This window comes from Homo sapiens, chromosome 9 (assembly GCF_000001405.40).
Source record: "Homo sapiens chromosome 9, GRCh38.p14 Primary Assembly".
Lineage (NCBI taxonomy): Eukaryota > Metazoa > Chordata > Mammalia > Primates > Hominidae > Homo > Homo sapiens.
The window spans coordinates 109934232-109957363 of NC_000009.12; the positions used below are offsets into that span (position 1 = coordinate 109934232).

General features: G+C 40.1%; 1 protein-coding gene across 14 annotated transcripts in view, besides 3 other annotated features; it reads left to right on the forward strand.

The window, feature by feature from the left end:
- PALM2AKAP2 (PALM2 and AKAP2 fusion) overlaps positions 1-23132 on the forward strand; it is a 531726-nt gene that overhangs the window by 293445 nt on the left and 215149 nt on the right. For 6 of the 14 annotated variants that reach the window (XM_047423410.1, XM_047423411.1, XM_047423414.1 and 3 more), the window contains one exon: positions 8455-9150. The exons of 6 other annotated variants lie outside the window; for them this stretch is intronic. In XM_047423410.1, the coding sequence (XP_047279366.1) occupies positions 8455-9150 (696 nt within the window). Of the gene's footprint in view, positions 1-8454; positions 17246-23132 lie in introns of those variants that run through there. 2 more of the 14 variants (NM_001037293.3, NM_053016.6) reach the window with 1 other exon arrangement.
- Positions 17161-17230: an enhancer, noted in NCBI's record as "active region_28774". NCBI's record gives its function as "activates an Ori minimal core promoter by ATAC-STARR-seq in GM12878 lymphoblastoid cells {active_cell/tissue: GM12878}" and the evidence as "EXISTENCE:reporter gene assay evidence [ECO:0000049][PMID:35858748]".
- Positions 17251-17460: an enhancer, noted in NCBI's record as "active region_28775". NCBI's record gives its function as "activates an Ori minimal core promoter by ATAC-STARR-seq in GM12878 lymphoblastoid cells {active_cell/tissue: GM12878}" and the evidence as "EXISTENCE:reporter gene assay evidence [ECO:0000049][PMID:35858748]".
- Positions 18845-18914: a silencer, noted in NCBI's record as "silent region_20168". NCBI's record gives its function as "represses an Ori minimal core promoter by ATAC-STARR-seq in GM12878 lymphoblastoid cells {active_cell/tissue: GM12878}" and the evidence as "EXISTENCE:reporter gene assay evidence [ECO:0000049][PMID:35858748]".

Here is a 23132-nt window from a genome sequence, read left to right on the forward strand (position 1 = left end):
CATGTTTAATCTTCCTCCAAGTTTCCCATTCCATCTCTGGTTGGTTCTGACTATTGGGAAATTCTTCCTCTGATGGAGCCATCATTTGTCTGCCTTCATCATCCACCCACTTATCCTTATCCTGCACCCTGGAGCTACTCAGAGCACATCTAAGTTCTAATTTCCCTTCAAGTGTAGAAAGTCACTGTTATTTCCTGTTTTTCCCAGATCCTCACTCTAAATCCCCTTTGTGCTCACAGTCCCAGTCTCTCCAGCTGGTATTGAGATGATGAGATTGCCTTTAGACACCCTCCGCCATCCCTGTCCCTCCCCTCTGCACGCTCTTCACTTGGTTGCTAGTCTTCTTGATGTATCATGCTCAGAGCTACCCAATGCCTTCAGAGCTAGGCTGCTCACCCCCAAAATAGAGCACGACGCTGCAGACCACATGGCTGACTTTGCTGGCAATGTGGCCTTTCAGCTTCAGTTTTGAAAGGCCTCAAAGTCATTTCATGTGTGCCACTGCTCAGCCTCACTCCGTTTATCCATAGAATTGTTGTTTCTGAGTCATTTCAGTTGAAATGTTCAGTCTGTTTCCCCTAGCTATACATATACTACTTCACCTGTTCATACATAGAAGGACCTACAGAATTCTTTTGTTTTTTAATCTCGAAAGACAAAAATAAGCATGAGCTATGCACTTTTCTGTCCTTTGTAGATTTGCTATGACTATTAAATTTCTTCTTGTTAGATTGTCTCTCAAGAATGTTGCGGGTTTCATGGAGGCACTGAGGAACCACAGCAGGAAGTGGGGGAAGGGAATGATGTCATGGGATTTGACAGGGCTCTGACATTCCCTCCCATTTCAAACACGCGCAGTTCCTCCATCCTCATGTTTACATATTGTGTTTCCACATCAGATTTCACTTGAATCTAGGCCTCAACAAGTTTTGAATGTAGAAAACCCTCTTCTCTATTGTTAGGGTCTTTGTAGCTCATGATTATGGTATCCTCATAGCCTCACTTTGCTTCTCAGTTTAGTACCCCCTCAAATCTGAAAAAGCAATCTTTTATTATTTTTTATCATCTCATTGCTAAAAATGTTGCATGTTGGAACCAAAGTCAGAGCCCTGTGGCACACCATTAGAGATCTCTTGGCCCTCAATAACCCTAAATTGACATCTTTGGGGTATGATCATGCAACCACTAACAAGTTAATTGTCTTAACACCCAAGGCACATGTTTCTGTGTAGTCCACAGGAATATAAGGGATTTTGTGATAATCCAAATACTCTGGATCTTTTCAAATGCAATTTGCCTATTCTTTCCAGAGACCTTGAACAGAAAAGAAAATGAGATTAATCTGCATAGTTTCTGCTTGATTAACCCATGCTGGCTCTTAGTCATCTCTGGTCTTTGAAGATTAACTTTAGAATTTAGCTAGCCATGATGTCAAGCTCCTTCGATGTAGTTTAGAATCCCCTCATTCTCATTTTTGAAAATCAGACCTTTGAGTGTCAGCTTCCAGCACCTTTCCTGATGTTCAAGATTCTTGAGACAAATTCAACAAGGGAACTGGGACCCTGATCCCAAAGCACTGAGAGCCTTTATATCCCTGCAGTGCTATGTTATTTTCCAATCTTCTCTGCTCATCTGGGCTTCACTTCCCTTTCTGCCACTTTCTTTCTGGCACTTTACAGGCTGAAAACTCTCCTTCTTGACCAAAAATAGAAGCAAAATCAGACACAAGAAATTGGCTTGCCTTTATTATCCATCAACATCACACCCTTGCTGACTTATTTTTGTTACTACTGAGGTGTCTTGGAAAAACAATTGATTCACAGAAATTTTTGATCACTGTTTTTTTTGGGGGGAGTTACAATTTTTTATTGATACATAATAATTGTACATATTTATGGGGTACATGTGGTATTTTGATACATTCACACAATGTATAATGATCAAAAAAGGGTAATGAGGATATCCATCATCTCAAACATTTATCATTTCTTTGTGTTGGGAACATTCAAAAATCTTCTAGCTATTTTGAAGTAGACAATAAATTATTGTTGGCTTTAGTCACCCTACTCTGTATTGAACATTAGAACTTATTCCTTCTATCTAACTATATTTTTGAAGTTGGAGATTGTGCTTTCGGATGAGAGGGAGAACCCATTCTGAATTAATTTCCTCATTTTTATTGTCATTGGCATCACAATAGCCATTTTTACATTTCCAGCCCAAAGATAATATGTGAACACATATTTATATGTATAACCATTTGCTCGAAGGGATAAGACTACCCATATGTGTGTTCATTCAATAAGTCAACCATGTGCATTGCTTGTCTATCACATGCCAGGTGCAATGCCAACTCCTGGATGTTTCTGTTACTGAGATGACCCTGACCCCCCATGGATGACACTTATGATCTGCTTCTCTCCTACTGTACTTTACGCATCACTGACTCGTGAACCACGCAGGGTGTTCACAGCACCATAAAATATCAAATCTGGATAACTTTCATTGTACAAATGAGAAAATGAAGCCCCAAAATGGGGTGTGATCTGGATAGGAATTCAGATCCTATCTTTCTCCCTCCTCCCATCTCCCTGACTAATGACAGCGGAACATGTGGTGCTTATATTTTAGATGTGGGCTCTCAGCCTGTTCCTCCTCCCGTAATCACAGTGAGTGAAAGAAAGTGAGCTGGGAAAAGCCTGAATCAATGATTGAACTTTCCATCCTCCTGGAATAGTCTTGTTTTGTATGCTCTTGGACTGATGCTCAAATGTATTCATGTCCATTGCTCTTCCCGCCTTGCTTGTGTCGGTTACTCTTGTTCCCTCTTCTCTAGGCTCCCTACAGCCCTTGCAGTTGCTTTCACTCTGCCAAAGGTGAAGGCAACAGGCAACACAGGCATGTGTAGAGCCAGGGGGATAAGTCTGAATCAGAACCAAACATTCTCTGCTCCTCAGACCCATCTCTCTGGGCCCTGCAGAGCAATCGCTTCTCTGCTCAAAACTACCACCTTGGTTTTTAGGTGGGCACCTTCCCCAGAGGCCTCACACTCCGCTCCACACCTGGGTGTTTTCAGAACCTAGAGACTGGAATTCTCAACCTCAACTTAATGTCTCTACTCCTTCAGGGCGTTTCCCTATTGATGAAAGAATTATTAGGGAGCAAGAACCAAGAAAACCAAATGCGGAGGCCCAAAATCAAAGTATCCATGCAGTCATTCATCTGTATCCCTTTGAATAAGCTAGCAACATTCGTTCTTACTCTCTTTAATAAAAAGAGCATATTAAAATAAAATAAAATAAAATAATTCTTAAAAACAGCATATTACTCAGCTGTCTCGCTGGCTTCTTGGAAGGAGTAGCAAATATGCTTTATATACTCCAATCTCATTGTCATCAGTATATAGGGTTTGGAAATCAATAATTAAATACATAATTTAATAAAAACATACTTCCAGATTTCAGCCAGCCTATCAGTGAAACTTCCATTGAATTGTCTTCTATTTCTTTTCCTTCTTCCCCAGGTCCTTCATCCAGGAAAATTTCCAGAGCTTTCCTTCAAATACTTTTCTGTATGTCCATGTATGTTTCAAGATTTCTTTCAGGGCTCCCCAGAAAGCCCTCACCCCTCAACAGCACTCCCTCCTCATTTTTTAAATAAGATGAACAAAGGCAGCAAGCCCTTTGACCCTCATCATTATACAAATTGTAGTGTACCTCTGACATGGAGAAGCTGGAGAGAAGACAGGGCAGGTTAGAGAGTATGCTCTGTGCTTTGTGGTTAGAGACAAAGGGATGAAAAGTGTGAGAGGCCATTGGTATAAACTTTTGGCAGCAACAGGAAGTAGAAGAGTTTTTAAAATCTTGTGCATCAAAAATAAGACATTGCACTGAAAACGTAAGTCTTATGTTCCTATTGGTTCATATGCACTCTAGTTCATGCTTTTGTATATTATTGGCTGAGAACTGAAGCAAAATATAAATGCTTACTCATAAAGATGACATTTAAACATTCACACCTCTTGCATGGCTTTCTAAAAGGCCTAGATAACATTCTCATATATGTATCCATGAAAACGAAATATTGCCTTTGGGTTAAGTCAGAGCTTCTCAAAGTGTTCGCCTTTGTTCTCTTTACTGGAGGAAAGAGTGAATGCAGAAAGGAATGTAGAATCACACTCTTAAGTGTGATTTGTGGTTCCTCTGAAGCCTTATGTTTTATCTAGGAAAAAAATACATATGCATTTTGTGACATAACATATCTAAGTTTATTTTATTATAAAATTATATTAAAATTCTTAAAATATTCTATGCTCATATTCTAGGAATATTGGAAGAATAGTGTACAACATGTAAATATAAATAGGTAACCCTAGTAAAACCATGTCACATGTGGTTCAGTCCCAGAGCCATATCACATTTAAAGAACTACAGCTTAAAATTGCACACCAAAAAACCATTAAGAAGGTGTTCTGTTCTTTAACTATTTCTCCTGAAGGATATTAAAAGGGACCTTGGCCGGGTGCGGTAGCTCACGCCTGTAATCTCAGCACTTTGGGAGGCTGAGGAGGGTGGATCGCTTGAGGTCAGGAGTTTGAGACTAGCCTGGTAAACATGGTGAAACCCCATCTCTACTGAAAATACAAAAATTAGCCAGGCTTGGTAGCATATGCCTGTAACCCCAGCTACTTGGGAGGCTGAGGCAGGAGAATCGCTTGAACCCGGGAGGCAGAGGTTGCAGTGAGACAAAGTCGCACCGCTGCACTTCGGCCTGGGTGACAGAGTAAGACTCTGTCTCAAAATAATAATAATAATAAAAAATAAATAAAAGGGACCTAATTTATATCTCCACTAAGTAATAATTCTCATATTCACTTTTCTTTCCTCCACATATCACCTGCTCTAAAGCATCATTTACCACCACAAAATACTCCTTCTCTATGCATATTTCATACAGTTTTTACTCTCTTTCCCACTAAACTCCTTCTTTCTCATTTGTGTATTATGTGGATATACTTAACCTTTCCAGCAAAGAACTTTTCATCATCATCTCTCCTTTCTTCCAGGCTCTGATTCTAGAACAGGCAAAGATTAAAATGACAGAAAATTGGACCAACAATGATCAGCATTCTCATTGGTGGGAAGAGGGAGAGGGATATCTGTAAACATCCCCATGTTAATAATTTGTATTTTTATCCTATCACATATGGATATAAAAATAGAAATATTTTGTTCCATATTCTGTATTGATCGCAGGCCAGTGTGTGGATTTGTTCACAGATAACTGAATGTTTGCAGAATAATAAGATATTGTACCTACAAACTAACAATTATTACTTTCCTTATTTATAACTGTGTCCCATGAGTGTGTTAATAGTGATAAGATATATTCTAATCCCAAACTGCTTTTTAAAATAAGTGTTATATTTCAAGAACAGGCTTTTGGAGTCCATGCAAATTTTAAATGCCTATTCTATTCTTCTGATGGCACATTTTGTGAGAAATCAGGAACTAACTGAGATAAATGTTTATTTGGATACACAGTCATTGTGTGTGTCCATGCACCTCTATGACAAATGCTGGTTGGCCTCCCATTGTGTCACTTGAAGAAACTTGAGATCTTTATGCTGAACAAGTGAAACTTTCAAAATGGATCTGATGAAAACCAAACATGGGATTTTGTTTCATAATCTTTTTAGTTAAGTGTTAACCAGGAACAGAGTGTATCTTATTATGCAAGCAGATGGAACAATATCATCACTGTTATTTTTTCAAACAAGTTCAAACATTAATTACTGTGTGTACCATTTCATTGGTGTCATATTATACAAAGTATTTGTTACTAGATTACAACAACCATATTAGACTCTTGAATTATTAGCCTTTGTTTGAGAGATGTGTATATTGGGTACCTGCTATACAAATGGCTCTAAGGTAGGTGCTGACAGGGAGGGGGCATCATGGATAGGTGTTGGGCAAGAAACTAACCCTCAAAAGATCCTAAAAATCTATGAAGCTGATGAAACATTCCCACAGATAATTATACAACTGAGTGGTAATTGTTAAGAGCCTTCAGAGAAGTTTAGAAAAAGTATTGAGAAAATTTTAAGAGAGGGATGACTTAGAGATGGAAGGATCAAAGAAAGCTTATGGAAGAGGAGGCAGTTGACCTTGGCGTTAATCAATGGGCCATATTTGGATATGTAGAAACTCAAAACAAAGACATTTCAGGAGAAGGGAATCTTAACAAAAGCAGAAGATATTTACGTCTGGGATGGTGTTATTTGGTTGTGCTAAATGGAAAAGGAGCACTAGAACATATGGTTGAAAAGATAGTTTGGATCTTCTTAACACAGGGAACTTATTCAGAAAGAGGTAGGGACTCAAGACAATGACAAGCAGATGGGCTAGATCTCTAGAAGTTTGGAGGAGCAACAGAAGGCTATCTAGGCAGAGGGACAGCAGGCACACAGATGAGCAGCCGTGGGAGGAAGTTGAGTGTCCTGGGAATAGTGAGAAGTCGTTATGGCCACAATGTGTAAAGAATGAGAGAGCCCACAAGACAAGGCTAGAAAGGAAGTTTGCAGACACATCCTGAAGGGAACTATATGCCATGCTGGGGAGTTTGGTGTTTATTTTCTAAAGACACAAGGAACCAACAGAGGGTTTATGACTCAAGTAACTGTGGGCAGGATGGAGCACAGGCTGGCAGGGGTCGGCAAAATTTTTGTATAAATGGCCAGATTTTAACTATTTTAGACTTTGTGGACCATATAGTCTTTGTCACACATTAATTGTTTTCTTTCTCTTTTCTCTTTCCTTCCCCCATCTTTTCCTCCCTCTCTTTCTTCTTCTCCTTCCTCTTCTTTTTTCTTCCTTCTCCTTCCCCTTCTCTTCTTCTTCTTCTTCCTCTTCTTTTTTTTTTTTTTTTTTTTTTTTAAAGAAACAACCCTTTACAAGTGTAAAACCACTCTTAGCTCCTCTGGCCATACAGAAACAGGCTCAGGCTGTCTTTGGCCCTCTGGCCACAGTTTGCAGTCTTCTAGACTAGAGCAAGAAGACAGAAGTGTTAGGTAAAATAAAAAGCAAGGCTGTTGTGCAGAGAGCAGAGGAGGGCCTGGACTAAGGCCTTGGTGACAGAAATGGTGGTGAGGAGATGGATGAGATATATCTGAAGTAGAATGATTTACTGTCAGTGAGTGTTTGGCTGTAAGAAAGTAGGAAGAAAAGAACAAGTCAGGTGTGATTCTCAGGCCTGTGGCTTGAGAGACTAGGTAGCAGTGCTGCTGTTATTTGGCATGGAGACTGTGGAATAGTTTTGATAGAAGAAGCTGGAGTCAGTTTGGAAGCTGCTGAGTTTGATGGGTTCGTGGCACATCCAGATAAAGGGCACCTGGAGCCTGGTGGCTCTATGGGCCTGATGCACAGTTTCTTCCCATCCAGGAAGACTGTGAAGAAACCAGTTTGGAAGTATGAGGTGTCACAAGAGTCTATAGGACAGGAAAGAGCTGTCCTTAGCAACCCCAGACTGGCAGCAAGAGTTGGGATGAATTAGAAAGGATACAAGACTGAGAGACAGGGGCAAGGGGAGGGGGAGACCAGGTAGGAAGCTCTTCCAACAATCTAGGGAAGAGGAAGTGAATGTCTTACATTGACCAGTAGCAATGGAACAAAAAGAAGACAACAGATGGGAAAGGTATTAATGGAACAAAAAGAAGACAACAGATGGGAAAGGTATTGTGGGCAGCAGGACTTGGCACTCTGTGCATGGAAGATGAAAGAGGCCTTCTGCGATCATTGTCTTCAAATTCCAGTGTCCTATGTGATGTTACTTCTGTCTTGTTCTTTTCTTAGTTCTTATTTTAGGTACCTAGTTTAGTGACTGAAGTACTCACAGGGCACATAATATGAATGCTCCCATGCTTTTTCAATTGTTGAAAATATTCTGTTGTATAGTACAGTGGAGGATAGCCATGACCCACCTATGAAAACCTTTGTGGAAATGTAGAGAAAACGAAAACACTTGATGAAAGAGGTTTTTTCATTTATTTAAAATTTTGGACCTGGAACACATTTTAACCAAGGGTTTGTAAATTGTCTGTCAGCCTGGGAAGCCCTCAGTCAAGGTAGTTTGCATGTTGCCAGCCTCCATGAAATTCTTCACACTAAGATCTAAAGTCTCTTGTGCCCTTATTTTAGCAGATCTTCCTTAAATGTGTGAGTGCCATTGAGATATAGCAACCGTGCATCTGTCTTCCAAGTGCATTAAACTGCTGTGTTACAATACAGATATAACCATCTTTATTCACAGTGCGCACCTCACTCTAACACTCAAGATGCTTGGCAGTTAGAATAGAAAGGGCACAAAACCTTTTTTTTTGTCTGTTTGGCAATTAACCATTCACTGGCTTTTTTTGTTGTAACATGCACTTCCTTTCTCTTGTTTTCATTCAAGCTGTGTACGCCATGGAAATTAATGTGGAGAAAGACAAACAAACAGGAGAGACCAAGATTCTCTCTACATCTACCATTGGCCCAGAGGGGGTCCATCAGAAAGGAGTCAAAGTCTATGATGATGGTACCAAAGTAGTGTATGAGGTGCGCTCAGGAGGCACCGTAGTAGAAAATGGAGTGCACAAATTAAGCACAAAGGATGTAGAAGAGCTTATTCAGAAGGCTGGACAATCAAGCTTAGGAGGAGGGCACGTGTCTGAAAGGACTGTGATTGCAGATGGGAGCCTCAGCCATCCCAAGGAACACATGCTCTGCAAAGAAGCTAAGTTAGAAATGGTACATAAGTCTAGGAAAGACCATTCTTCCGGGAACCCAGGGCAGCAGGCCCAAGCCCCCAGCGCTGCAGGGCCGGAGGCAAACTTGGATCAGCCCGTCACCATGATTTTTATGGGCTACCAAAATATCGAGGATGAAGAGGAGACGAAAAAGGTGCTAGGCTATGATGAAACCATCAAGGCTGAATTGGTCCTCATTGATGAAGATGATGAGAAGTCATTGAGGGAGAAGACAGTGACGGACGTGTCCACTATTGACGGGAACGCGGCTGAGCTTGTGTCCGGGAGGCCGGTCTCAGACACCACAGAGCCCTCATCCCCAGAAGGGAAGGAAGAGAGCCTAGCTACAGAGCCAGCCCCAGGTACCCAAAAGAAAAAGCGCTGTCAATGCTGTGTTGTCATGTGACCACTTCTTTCTTCTCCTTTCTTCTGGGCAGCCTGTACTCTCCACCACTCACGTAGACCTCACTGTACCACTAACTGCAATACTGTGAACTGGAAGCAAACACCTGCCTTGCCTTGCAGTTGAATTGCTTTGATCTCTCTCATTTTTTTTCCTTTTCCTCACCTGAGAGACAACGTGCATGTGTGTGCTTCATTCTCTCCAAGAACTTGCTTTTCCTCTAAACCTTTCCTTGTGTCTTCAAGAGTGAATCACTTCCTTCCTGCTCGATTGGAATGGACTCTTCGTATCAGCCAGTGATATGGTAGCCTTAACTCACTTGACTGGAATTGAACCCATTGGCACTGGGGGTTTCATTTTGTAGTGTGTTCCTGTAACGTAGTCACACACTGCCATGTCTCTGGTTTCTCACTTGCCTCCTTTGCTGTGGATCTTTGTTTTTATATCTTGTGTGGCAAAATGCTGTTGGCTCTAGCCGGTTGCTAGTGTAGCCAAAAGTGGACCTTACTTAGTCTGTCCGATCTAGGGTGATGCTTTTTGCTGCCTTACATAAGCTTCCAGATTACAGTATTGTGCATTCATGGCTTTCTTTCTGTTAAAACTGAAATGAAGTCAATGTAGAAGAACCCAGAGCTTGTCACAGCTGAAATGTAGGGACTGATTCCATAACCTGCCCATCAGCGGTTGTCTCTCTTTCTATGGTTTAACCGATGAACCCTTTATATAAGAAGCACCATTTTAAAATTTCTAAGGACATGAAACAAACATTGTTTGAAGCATCAGTAGCAATTGATCTCCAAACTTAGGCAAATTCACAAGCCTTGTTTCTATTCTCTTAAAAAAATGTAAATTTTTATATTGTTTCTTTTTTCTGGATATTTTCTGGTCATGTTAATCTATTTTCAATGAGGAGATCATCTTGAGAAGTATCTTTGCAGTGACCATATTTCTAAAACAGTCTGTCCAACCTACAATGGTTGCCATGATGCTCCCACTTCATCATGGATGGTGCTGTAATGCATTAACTGTTCATCTCCTCCCCAGTTGATTACAAAGCCTTGCATCCATACTCTTTTCTTTCTGGCCCCATGAGAAAGAGAATGTTTTAGGTAACTTCAACTTGTAGGTTTATCTGCCCTTCAAAAAAAAAAACTTTAAAAAACTTTTAAAAATTAAGAAAGACCTATCTTCTCAATGTTAAGCACTTAATTTCATAACAAATATTAAGTGGCACATAGCTGAGCTTCTTAGGGCATTGTTTTGTTTTTAGCTTCTGGAGATTCCAGAAGAGCAAAGAATATTTTTTATCTAGAACACAATGAACAGTTTTTGAAATACCTTCTCAGCACTCCCCCAAAGCAAAAAGCCACATATGTAGTAAAACCAAAGGGAAACAATTTAATAAAATAACAATAGTATAGTAATGAAATAAAGATATAACATGATTACTGGTTTTAATAAGAGTTATCTTAACTTTAAGTTATTTGCCCATTTATAGCATTGTTATGAATTATTCATAAAATTATGTCCCACAGTATATAGTTTTGAAAAAACATATGATATACTACATCCAGTCTAACTTCTGTGGAAAGTAGATCAGAAAAAATAAGATAGTCTTGAGAGAATTTTATTATAGAAGCTGTCTAATTTGACCTATTTTGCTTGCTCAGTGCTAAATCTATTGCTTTTTTTTAATCTCCTGGCTTGAAATTATATTTACTTCAATAGGAAAGGTAAAAACATCAGTTTTTACTTTTCAAAGTTAATTTTCTGAAATAATTGCATTTTAATGAGCACAAAATGGGTCATTTTATTTTTATTATACTCATCTTGTTTACACCTATACATAAACAGAAAACGTTAAAGAAGAGAAAAATAAAGGAGCTAAGTTCTGCTGTTGAAGATTATTTCATCCAAGGCTTGGTTTTGAATAACTGAGGGAAATATCTCTAAATCTCAAGTTCATCAAAGCAGCTGCAATGGAATAAAATTGCTATTTTATCGAGAAACCTGGTTTGGATGCTTATAAATTCCACTACTCTCAGCTTCATTTTCCTGAGTACGTGGTCACTGAAGCATCATTTAGACATTACATAAACTGGCATGCAGATAAACCTATTTACATAGAGGGAGAAAACAGTTTCAATGTCTTGGACAATCTGTTATTTTAATGATTTACTTAAGAAAGAAACAATCTGAAAGCTTACCATAGCTTATCTTTTCTACTCACTTGGAGATTCAAGCTATTCAATGTGAGTTTTAAAAAGTTAAGCACAGTTAGTGAGTGAAATGGTAGAATGTAGAACCTTTAAGCTTGCTGGTTGATAAACAGAATCAATCTTCCAGGACAGATAATTCCCTGAAGGGACCTATCCTTGCATAAGTGAACTAGTTACTCATACAGAAAATGATCTGCACATCTTACTACAACACTACACACAAGAACTAAAAGATTAATGATTATCTGTATTCTCTTCACTAATTACTATTATGGGGGAATAATGATTAGCAAATTATATGAATTCGAGTTCTCTCTATACTTTTATTAGTAAAGCTTATCATTTAATGGACTGAAGTAAGATGTGTTACCTTTATTCGAGCTATTTGTAGCCACACTAAATGAAGGTGTGTTTGAATATGGCGCATATATTTGCATATGTCCCATCATTTTCTTGTCATAATGGGGAATTCAGGCTTAGCCAGTACTTCTATGGGATGAGACCTATAATCCCACCTATAGCAGCAAGTAACTACCCTTCATGATGATAGTGTACATGGAGCTGTGATTATGAACATGCTGCCTTTCCTGCTGCCATTGGCATTCTCTCTGTAAATTTTATTATGTGTGGTATCACACTCTCCAAAAATGCAGGGTATTTGGTTACATAACCAAACTAATTAAAGAATCAGTAATGAAATTGCAAAACCATGATCTTTTTTGAGCTAATGATTAGTTGGGCTTTCCTTTAAAATAATATAATCAGGCCGAGTGCAGCGGCTCACACCTGTAATCTCGGCACTTTGGAAGTCCGCGGCGGGTGGTTCACCTGAGGTCGGGAGTTCAAGACCAGCCTGACCAACATGGAGAAACCCCCATCTCTACTAAAAAAAAAATACAAAATTAGCCAGGCGTGATGGCGCATGCCTGTAATCCCAGCTACTCGGGAGACTGAGGCAGGAGAATCGCTTGAACCTGGGAGGCAGGGGTTGCAATGAGCCGAGATGTGCACTCCAGCCTGGGCAACAAAGAGCGAAACTCCATCTCAAAAAAAAAAAAAAAAAAAAAAAAATCATATAATCAGTTCCCTTTTAAATAGAAAGAGGAGGAAAAAAAAAAGGAAAAGGGGGGGTATCTCATTTGTATACAAATAGATTTTCAATGGCATTTAATAAAAGATTCTTTAATGGTTAAAATGATAAAGATTAATTCTACATATCTTGAAAAATCTTAATGACTTCTGTATTCTTGACTTCTTAAAAATATTTTCTTTCTTTTAGTGTGCAATAAGACAAACTAAGGGGAATTTTTTCAGCTTGTATCTCTTTTACCCATATTATTTTCCTTGCATAAGCAAAAAAATAATAATTGCCTCTAAAACTGATTTGACAGTGTTCAGTGACATCATTTAATATTGGTGATGGGGTGGAAGAGAAGGTAGGGAATGCCCTTATGGCCAAACCTAAAACACAGTTTCCTTGAGCCTTCTGAGCAATCTTAGAATTATTCAGAAGCTTTCAGGAAACTCAAATTCTATTAATTTGATTTGGTTCCTTTCCAAAATGTTAATAGACATGTATTTGCTTAAAACGTCTACCTATTCCATTTAATTTCCTGCTGATAAATGTATTTTATCTACAAGCAAGTAGAATATTTTGTTTTGGTTAAAGTCAAGTTTTTATAAAAGGAGGGGAAGTATAAGAGAGAGTTTCCTAGAGATACAATATCATCTCTGGAGCAAAATGTTGAGGCCAAGTGTAAAAACAGACTATTTCTCTTTACTTCCTGCAGAATTTCATTTCAAGGGACCACAGCACACCCTTGAAAATTACCATTTATTTAATGCCAGTTGAACCAATGGGTAGCAAAAGAGGAGGGAGGGAACATGGTCATAGAGACAAAATCTAACTACTATACCAGGTCTTCCTTTGTAAGAAATATTAGCCCTGCCAATATAAAACGCAGATGGACATAGACAGAATAAGCATCGAGGACTTTTTCTTATTTACTTGAAATCTAGAAGCTCAGTCATCTCTGCTCATCCCTGGACCCACTGGAGAGTTTTACTCACTAACAGGTCCTTTCCTGGAAGAAATAACCTCATCTCCTGCCATATTAGTTTACAATAAAAATCATTCCAAAGTGAGCCATTTCACATTGCATTTTTGCCACATGCACATTTGCTATTGAAACCACAGATTCTCAGCATAAGTAAGACATAGGTGTTTCAGAAACTTCATAAATACACGATCTTTCAGGTGCTCCTCAATTTCTTAATCAAGGTATATTGAACTCCAGTGATTAGGATAGAACCTGAAAACATCCTTTGTTCTATTGGATAGTACAACACAGCAAGAGCACACAGTTATTTGTATAATAAAACAACTTAATTAATGAGGAAGATGGGATGTTTGATTCCTGCTACCACCAGTTCACTTCACAAAGGCCTTCTTCTGGTATTACCAGGAAAACTTTCCTGCATTTTCTAGGGAAAAAGAAAAGTCGTTTATTAGGAGCACAATGCAGATATGTATCTGTGTTTTCATAGCTTCAGCAAACTTCTTAGTAAAATTCCCATTTCAACAAAAACCAAAATACTGATTGTTTGAATGTAGAAAGGTATAGAATAAAGACTACAAAGGGGAATTTTACCAGGGCTCCTTAGACCAGCTTCCCCAGCATAATTTTTATATAACTCAAGTAAGCCTCTGCTTCCCCTCTCCTTTCCAGTATAATATAAGAAGGTCGGAACTGTCGCACAAAAGAACTTGATTTCAATATGAAAATATAATATGTAATTTTGGGGACTGCAGACTTTCTGCATCAAAGATCTGGACAGCCTTAACTTTTATAAAAATAATTTTTCAATGTTCTCTTTTACTAACCAGGAAAACAAGATGTTTTCTGAAATTAATGACTTTTTCTATTTTGGGTCTGTTTTCTAAGTTTTTACAGGTTGAGGTATAAAGGGTCGTCTTCTCCTCATATTGCCTCTTCATAATCACCTGGGGCTATTTTTTGCAAGTCACTGCATTTTTACAAAAAATAAAAATAAAAAGTACATCTCACAAATCATAAAATTCTCCCTAGACTTCAGACAGTCCTTCTGGAGTGAAAGAATAGAAATACAGAAAGAAAAGAATTACAGGGTGGCTTTCTTTTTATTTTCCTATGGTTAATGTACTGTATGGTATATATGTTTACAGAATGTATCTGCCTTGTGATGTTAACAAAATGAATGACAAAAAATAGTACTGATGTGCCATTTGACAGTTTGCCTTAGCATCACTGTTTATGTTCTTCTTTTCTGTCCTTTTTGGTAAAAAAAAACGCAGGTTGTATTCCAAAGCTGTATTAACACAACATTCTCTTCCCCACTCCTACCCAGCCTTCTTCAGAGCTGTGAATTTCATTACAGGAGCATTGAGGCAGAACCTTGCAGGTGTGGCCCAAAGGGGCTAAAGTGGGCATAGGTTGGGATTTACTTCTGCCCGTCTACCAACCAAACACGTATCTGTGTTCTCATATAAGCCTGCAAAATTTTACACCCTGCCTTTCAGGGAGACAGGCCACATGGAGCGCATGACCTCTTGTAGTCGTCTCCTCACAGTCCTTCCCACTGTGAGAGAAGGAAACTTGCAGACCCCCAACTGGATCTGGGAGCATATTTTTAAGCACAGTTGGCATTGCTTGAAAAAGCAAGAGAGATGGACTCAAATTCTATGATTGAGCCATGACTGAGGAATGTGCCCATTCGTTATAGTCGAAGATGAGTAGGATGATATGGGTGAGAATAGGAGTGGCTGTAGAAATGGAATATTTTACAGTTATGTATTTTTTTAAGGAATAGTATTTTTATAATGAAATCTATATACATTATGGAGCTTGAGTTGGAAAACACCCTTGACTGAGCTATTTCTTCATTCCATTAAAGGTAACTTTCTGGGGAGTCCTATAGCACTAGGCCAAGCCTTGGGGGCATGAACAAAGGGCCTGTCACTTGGCCTTGCACTGCCATTACATGAGATCCAGTGTTTCCAAATAGGCCTTGGTTGGAAGATTGAGCTTTCTATACCTGCCATTAGGTAGATTAGATAGATGGCTTGATAGCTCTCTGGGCTATACTTTTAATAATATATAATAATCTTTGGGAAGGAGATAGCTATTTTAAATGCAAGCAAAGCCCAGAAACTATCAAAGTCCAAATCTTTCACATATTTAAGGAGTAATTGCCACATTTGAGGTTAAGGGACCACTTACTATGGTGCATTTGAGAAATATATATGAAACGGTGAGTCAGAGCCCTCTGACCATCTTCAGTCTACACATAAGCAGATAAACCACCAATATAAATCTTATAGGGGCCAGACGAGGTGGCTTATGCCTGTAATCCCAGCACTTTGGGGGGCCAAGGCAGGAGGATAGTGTGAGCCCAGAAGTTCAAGACCAGGCTAGGCAACATGTTGAGACCATGTTGTTTAGTCTCTACTAAAAAATATAAAAATTAGCCAGCATGGTGGCACACACCTGTAGTCCCAGCTACTTGGGAGACTGAGGCAGGAGGATCACTTGAGCCCAGGAGGTGGAGGCTGCAGGGGGCTGAGATCTCACCACTCCATTCCAGCCTGGGCAACAGAGCAAGACTCTGTCTCAAAAAAAAAAACAAAAAAACAATTATCAGTTGGCCTTCTACATAACACAGGGCTACACTGTATTTTTAGAGTTAAGTAGATACAGGAAAAGATTGTCTTTATCCATAAAGGAGATTCTGAATTTTTAGAGTTCCTGAATATTTTCCCCCAAGTTTCTGTCAAATTCCTGAAGTCCCTTCCCTATCACACTCAGTTTCCTGAAGCTCTTCCCCTACACCTGCTCCTCTGTCTGGCTAACAGAGTTGTCATGTCTCAGAAACTACTCACCACTCTTGTGAGACTCTCTTCCCAAGCATCATCCTTCCTCAGGATGAGGCCTTTTTCTACTACCCAAGAGATCAAGACCCTTTTTCTAACAAGACAAGGTTATATCTACTCCATTTTCAAGAGAAATAACCCCTCTGGTTCCCATGCAAATCGCTTAAATTCCTTCATCACCAGAATCTCTCCAACAGGCCCAACTCCAGCCCAGCTGTGAACACTGCTGTCATGGAGACAACTCCAAAATGAAAGAACTATGCAATTGCCTGAAGGTGCTAATGGAGAGCCAGTTTACTCTAATCTCTTATTACTAAGGAACCTCTCGGTTTCGAGATTAAGTGGGCAGGGAGACATCCAGTCACTTAGTTTTGCAATGACAGGTCTTGATATACACAGAGGCCACCAGGCAATGCCTGATCCAAACTATTCTGTATGTAGCTCCAACTCCAATTCTGTGATATCCTATTCTGGCAGGTGGGAAGAGTTCTATTCTTTGCAGGGTTCTGGAACATTCTTTCCTGCTCTCAAGCTCCTGACTTAGGAGAGTCAAAATCATACAGGGGTTCCAGAAAATGTTGTGTCTGATGCAGCTTCTCAGTGAATGTAGGTTGTTGGTGAAATTTTCAGCTTTAGCATCTCACTCGGGGTGAGTGATGTCTCTGTAAATACTTTCATTTGTGGTTGGTTGGTGGGGGTGGGGGTGGGAGCCTGTCGTGCTTACTCTGAATTAGCTTACTGGGCTAGCTGCTGTACTTTGTAACCTGAAGTGTACTTTGACTGTTCTGTTTCCTTCAGATGAAAAACAAAATAAAAACCGACTTCAGAAAAGACACTACCAGCGACAGCTGATGCTGTACTTGTAGCTTCTCTCTGTTCCTCTGTACAGTATTAATAGACAATAAACTGCCTTTTCACTGCATCTACCTCTGTGTGTCTGTGCCCTGATTCTTTCCCCTTCTCACCTGCCACTAGCGGACTTCAGGCCAGACCGTGTTGGGAGCACCTTCCGCTGTTCACTAAAACTAAACACTAACCCAGTGCCTCTCAAACTCCAGTGTGCTTCAGAATCACCCGGGGGTACCTGTTAACAGTGTGGAAGCTTAGTCACACCTCTGGAACTCAGATTCCGATTCCCAGGTGGGGCCCAGTAGCATGCATTTGTAATAATGTCTCCAGGTGATTCTGATACATGTGGTACCTGGACCGCCGGTTTGGGTGCCCCTTGGTGGGAATCCTCATGGCCCACCTGTTGTAGTTGGTTTCTACACTAATCCAATCTCCCAACATGTCCTCCCTCTAACCCCCTTTGCATGTCTCTCTCCACAACTGTCATCCTTTTCTTGTTCCTTGCAAGCTCCCAGCAGCAGCCCAGACTGTGATCAAACTTGGGCTGCCCCTTAGGCTAAGTGACAGGGTTCATCTGGTGCAGTCTGCTGTTTAAGAGCATCTGAAGACACGTGGGGACTTTGTTTCTCTTGTTCACCTCTCTTTACCTGGAACAGGGTCAGCATAGTTTTTCAATAAATGGCCAGATAGTTTTGGCTTTGTGGGCCAAATGATCTCTGTTACAACTACTCAGCTCTGCTGCAAAGCAGCCATGTATGACATTTAAATGAATGAGTATGGCCATGTTCTAATAAACTTTATTTACAAAAACAAATGCTGGGTCCGATTTGGCCTATGGGCTTATAATTTGCCAACCCCTGGCCTCAAACAGGGCCTGGTCCATAGTAAGTGCTCCAAAAAAAAAGTTTCAAAAAATTATTGCATGAAAGAATGAATGAAGAGTAGATATGATGCCTACCACCTGCAGAGCAGTCACAGAAAATGGTTTTCTTTGAGGAGATTAAGTAAATGAATCAGTTGGGAGTTCTCATCTGGTTGGGTTCCATGGTAGATTTTTTAAATGTCTTTATGCATGGAAGGTAACTTTAAAGATGGAAATATGAGTGGTGTTTTATAGATTGCTCAAACCGCCAGGTTAAGATTGACAAGAGTTTCAACCAATAGAACGTGGAGGAAATGCAAGAACATCTTGTCCTCATCAAAAGTGCTGGGGATACCAGAACTGGGTGCTCCCTATGTACCTAAGCATTTAGTGCAGTTGTTTGTGGAGCTATGTTTTGTCAGATTCATCTTACACAGTGAATGGCAGGGCTTTCTTTACATTATTCTCTTTGTTAATTGAAATACTTTTTAATGTGTAGTTAGGTAGGCTGGAACCATGATAGCACATTACACATCCCACAGTTCTAGAGCATACCAACGGGTTCAAATGTAGGAGCATATGGAAAGTCGTGTGCTTACATTCATCCCTAGTGTTGTTGTGAAGTTAAAGGAAATTATATTTATTAAAAGCACTGTGTAAGCTGGAAGTAGATGACAAATGTTAGTTTAGTTATAATGAGAAAGTGTCTGTTGCCCAACCAGAGGCCTCATGCTGTCCAAATATAGAGATTATAAGCTGTTCAGGTGTGTTTCAGAACTAGTATAGAAAGGGAAGCTGCTTTGGCCTCCTTTAGATTTGTGACTAGTTTTGTAGTACATTGAACCTTATGAAATTGCCATTTTGTAGATCCATAATATTGACTATTGACAGTTCCATATAGTTCAACCTCATAATTCGATTCTGGGGATTATATCTCATCATGGAGGGCAAATGATTACCAGATGAACTCTAAATATAGCAGGAGGAATTAGATGAGAAAATTAGAACTTTGGAAGGGAATGTAGTTCAGTACTACCAAGTAGACCTAGACATTTCACCTGATAGGGTAGGATTTCCTTTAATCTCACATCAACTTTGTAATGTAGCCATTGAGGTTACTGTCCTTTTATACATGAGGAAACTGAGTTATAGAGATAGTAAGTACTTTGGCTAATGTGGCAGGGCTAAAAATCCGTGTGGGGTGGAGGAGGGCCAAGTTCCAACCTCAGTTGTCTTTACTTCCTCCCACACAGAGAGCTATGTTATGAAAGTGGTGTGGAGGCCGGGCGCTGGAGGCCAGGTGCGGTGGCTCATGCTTGTAATCCCAGCACTTTGGGAGGCTGAGGCAGGTGGATCATGAGGTCGGAAGATAGAGACCATCCTGGCCAACATGGTGAAACCCCATCTCTACTAAAAATAAAAAATTAGCTGGGCTTGGTGGCACGTGCCTGTAATCCCCGCTACTCAGGAGGCTGAGGCCGGAGAATTGCTTGAACCTGGGAGGTGGAGGCTGCAGTGAGCTGAGATCGCACCACTGCACTCTAGCCTGGGTGATATAGCAAGACTCCATCTCAAAAAAAAAAAAAAAAAAAAAGAAAAGAAAGTAGTGTGGAGATGCCCCTGAGACTGGAGACAAAAAGATTTAGATAATGAGGTTATTTATGCAAGAAAGACCCAATGGCACCAGTTCTTATTTTGCACCTTTACCTACTCAAGCAAATGCTCTGTTAATTATACCACCCCCTGGAGGCTGGGAGGCATCTCTGCAGCGCTTCCTTACCAAAGGAGAAGCGGAGGGTAAAATCACTTTGTTTTCTTATCTGTTCATCAGGAGTCCTGTTGTTCTATTTGACAGTTTTTCCTTCACCATTCATAAAAAGGATTAACAAAATTGCCCAAAACAACTCTATAAAGTCTAGGAGTGGCACGTCAGTCTCTGAAAAAGCAAAGGGGGTTTTGTTATTGTTGCTGATGATGGTATTGTTACTATTTCACCACTGTCATAACAGCAAAGAGGAACAGCTGCCCTATGGTGTTATGCAAATGCCTTTTGATCTAGGCTATATCATCCTTGTGCAGCTATTAATAGACCACATCATCTCCCCAGCAGCCCCCAAGCCCTAGCTTCTGTCCTGCTTTTCTCAAACAGTATTAAATCTTGCATTTTATCAACAGCACAAAAAAGCAAAGATTTGCTATTTAGAAGTGGACACAGGAAGGGGAATATCACACTCTGGGGACTGTAGTGGGGTGGGGGGAGGGGGGAGGGATAGCATTGGGAGATATACCTAATGCTAGATGACGCGTTAGTGGGTGCAGCGCACCAGCATGGCACATGTATACATATGTAACTAACCTGCACAATGTGCACATGTACCCTAAAACTTAAAGTATAATAAAAAAAAAAAAAAAAAAAAAAAGAAGTTAAGGTTGCAAGATCTTAAGTGATCATGTAGGGCAGAAGTCAGAAAATGGTTATGCAGATTCTGGGCTGAATCTGGCCTACAGTAAGGTTAGTTTACCTGCACAGCAATTAAAAATCATTTTGAATTCATTGCCAATAATAATAAATTAAGAGAGTTCTTATTTTAAAAGTATATTTCCGACTTCTCTTGAGAATTCAGTCTCTGGCAATAATAGCCTGTTCTCCCCACTGGCAATTGTCTGGAGCTGATGGTGGTTGCTAACTTTAGAGGAGCCATATTCCGTTGTTCATCACCACCAACACCAACACCACCACCATCTCCTATTATTTTTACCACCTTCTATTATTCTTACTCTTGGCCCACTTCCTTTGTCTGTATCACCTGCCTGGCCCCTATTGGCATTTGAGCATGTGACCCCTAATCTACCATCATTCACTCATTTTATGGCTGGGTCAAATAAGTCCTAGGTGGAAATGGGACTTACCTTAGCAAGATAACAGCAGACTCAGAACTAAAGTCCCCTGAACTCTTTGGATGAATGAGGCTTTGTACTGTGTTGGGATTCAAATCTTCTAAGGGCATTTTTAGTTTTGAACAGGCTACAAGCAGAAAGCTAATGCCAGAATCTAGTGCTTTTGCTACAGAGGAACCCATGTGACTTATATAATGATGAATTAACCTTAGGTTAAATGAACAGTGTAAGTTTGTAAGGAACTTTAGGGTATCCTGTGTTTCATGGTAAAAAGTTTCATTCCCAGGAAAATAAATAGATACTTTGTAGTCAACACCTCAATAGTTCTGGAGGCTTCATGTTCCTTCTTAGCAAAAATAACAAGAGGCACAGCCCATACTTATTTAAATTGAAATGTGATCTTCCATGCCTTCCTAATCCTTAGTCTTTGATTGTGTTCCTGAGGTCATGTGGTTGTAGAATACTACTATTCTGTATTGTCCACTTTTTTTATCTTCCTAAGAGCAATAATCCTCACAGAAGCTTGATAATTCAAAGGACTAATGAAACAGAGATCTTTACTCCCAGGGCTTGTCATAAATCCTGGCCAATATGGTGAAATCCCAACTCTACTAAAAATACAACAAAATTAGCTGGGTGTAGTGGTGCGTATCTGTGGTCCCAGCTATTCAGGAGGCTGAGGCAGGAGAATCGCTTGAATCTGGGAGGCGGAGGTTGCAGTGAGCCGAGATCGTGCCACTGCACTCCAACTTGGCAACACAGCAAGACTCCTCTGTCTTAAAAAAAACAAAACAAAACAAAACAAAAAAACTGATATGATTTAGTGTTTGTTTGTTTTAAGGAAAGACTAATTTTTTTTTTTTTTGAGACAGTCTCACTCTGTCACCCAGGCTAGAGTGCAGTGGCATGATCTCAGCCCACTGCAACCTCCGCCTCCCAGGTTCAAGCGATTCTCTTGCCTTGGCCTCTCTAGTAGCTGGGATTACAGGCGCATGCCACCATGCCAGGCTAATTTTTGTATTTTTAGTAGAGATGGGGTTTCGCTATGTTGGCCAGGCTGGTCTCAAACTTCTGACCTCAGGTGATCTGACTGCCTCAGTCTCCCAAAGCGCTGGGATTACAAGTGTGTGCCACCGCATCTGGCCAAGGCTAATTACATTTAAGATGATAATTGTATTTCCCAAATTAAAAAAAATATTTCCAAGTCACTGAATATTAAAAACACGAGCTGTGGGCCTATTCTCTTCAGGCCAGGGTTCTTAGGTCAACCTCAGACAACCTGAAAGTGAGATAAATTCTGCAGTTAGTGTGAATTATTCAGACTATCAGAATCTGCCAAATCAAATTCCATTTCTTCAAGAACTTATTTCCAGTCAGAGTACAAAGATAGAGTCAGCTTTTCTACTTTTCCTGAAAGACTGCCTAAATTCTAACTATAGCTCAGAGACTCAGTGTGAGGTGCTGTCACATACCTTAACTCAGTTTTTCCTCAAACTTCAGACTTTTGGGCATCATATTTGTTATTTTTGTCCTGTGTGTACCAGCTCGCTCCTGTTAAAAGAAGGAAATAGCCAGGTTAGAGAGGTGTCAAAAACATAGCTCCATCTCTTTAATATAATCAGATGGGAGTGAAAGAGAATCAAGATAGCAGTAACTTTCTTGCTATGTGAGTCAGTGTTACATAATGCCATGCCCACTTACCCCCAAAATTTAGGAAACACTGTCTTGCCTCCTTGCATCCTCTTAAAAAAAATAAAAATCCCAATTCCTCGTTTCAAAGAGACTAGGGTTAGAAATAGAAAGTGACTTGCTCAAAGCCACAAGAAGAGCAGAGACACAGAGCTGGGATTCAGACCCAGGCAGGGTGACTTCAAATTCTTTCCATTGCACCAGGTGCCTGTCATGCTGTTCCTTTTATAAGGATTGAATCGAGTACATCAGTAGCAAACTTAAACTCTCCAGTAAGATCACGATCGTTTAAACAAACAAAAGTAACATCTGTTCCAGCTAAAGAGCTGTCTCTGGCATAAGCAATTTTTCACCGATGGAGGCTAGATCTGATTGGGCTCTTGCTGAGTTAATTGAGCAAAGTTACGTGGCCAGATGTGAGTTTTCAGATAGAAGGGGAAGGGAATGCAATATACAAGCACATGGGGAGACTGATGGACCAAATGGCTGGCTCCACTATAAAACACTCCAGCGTT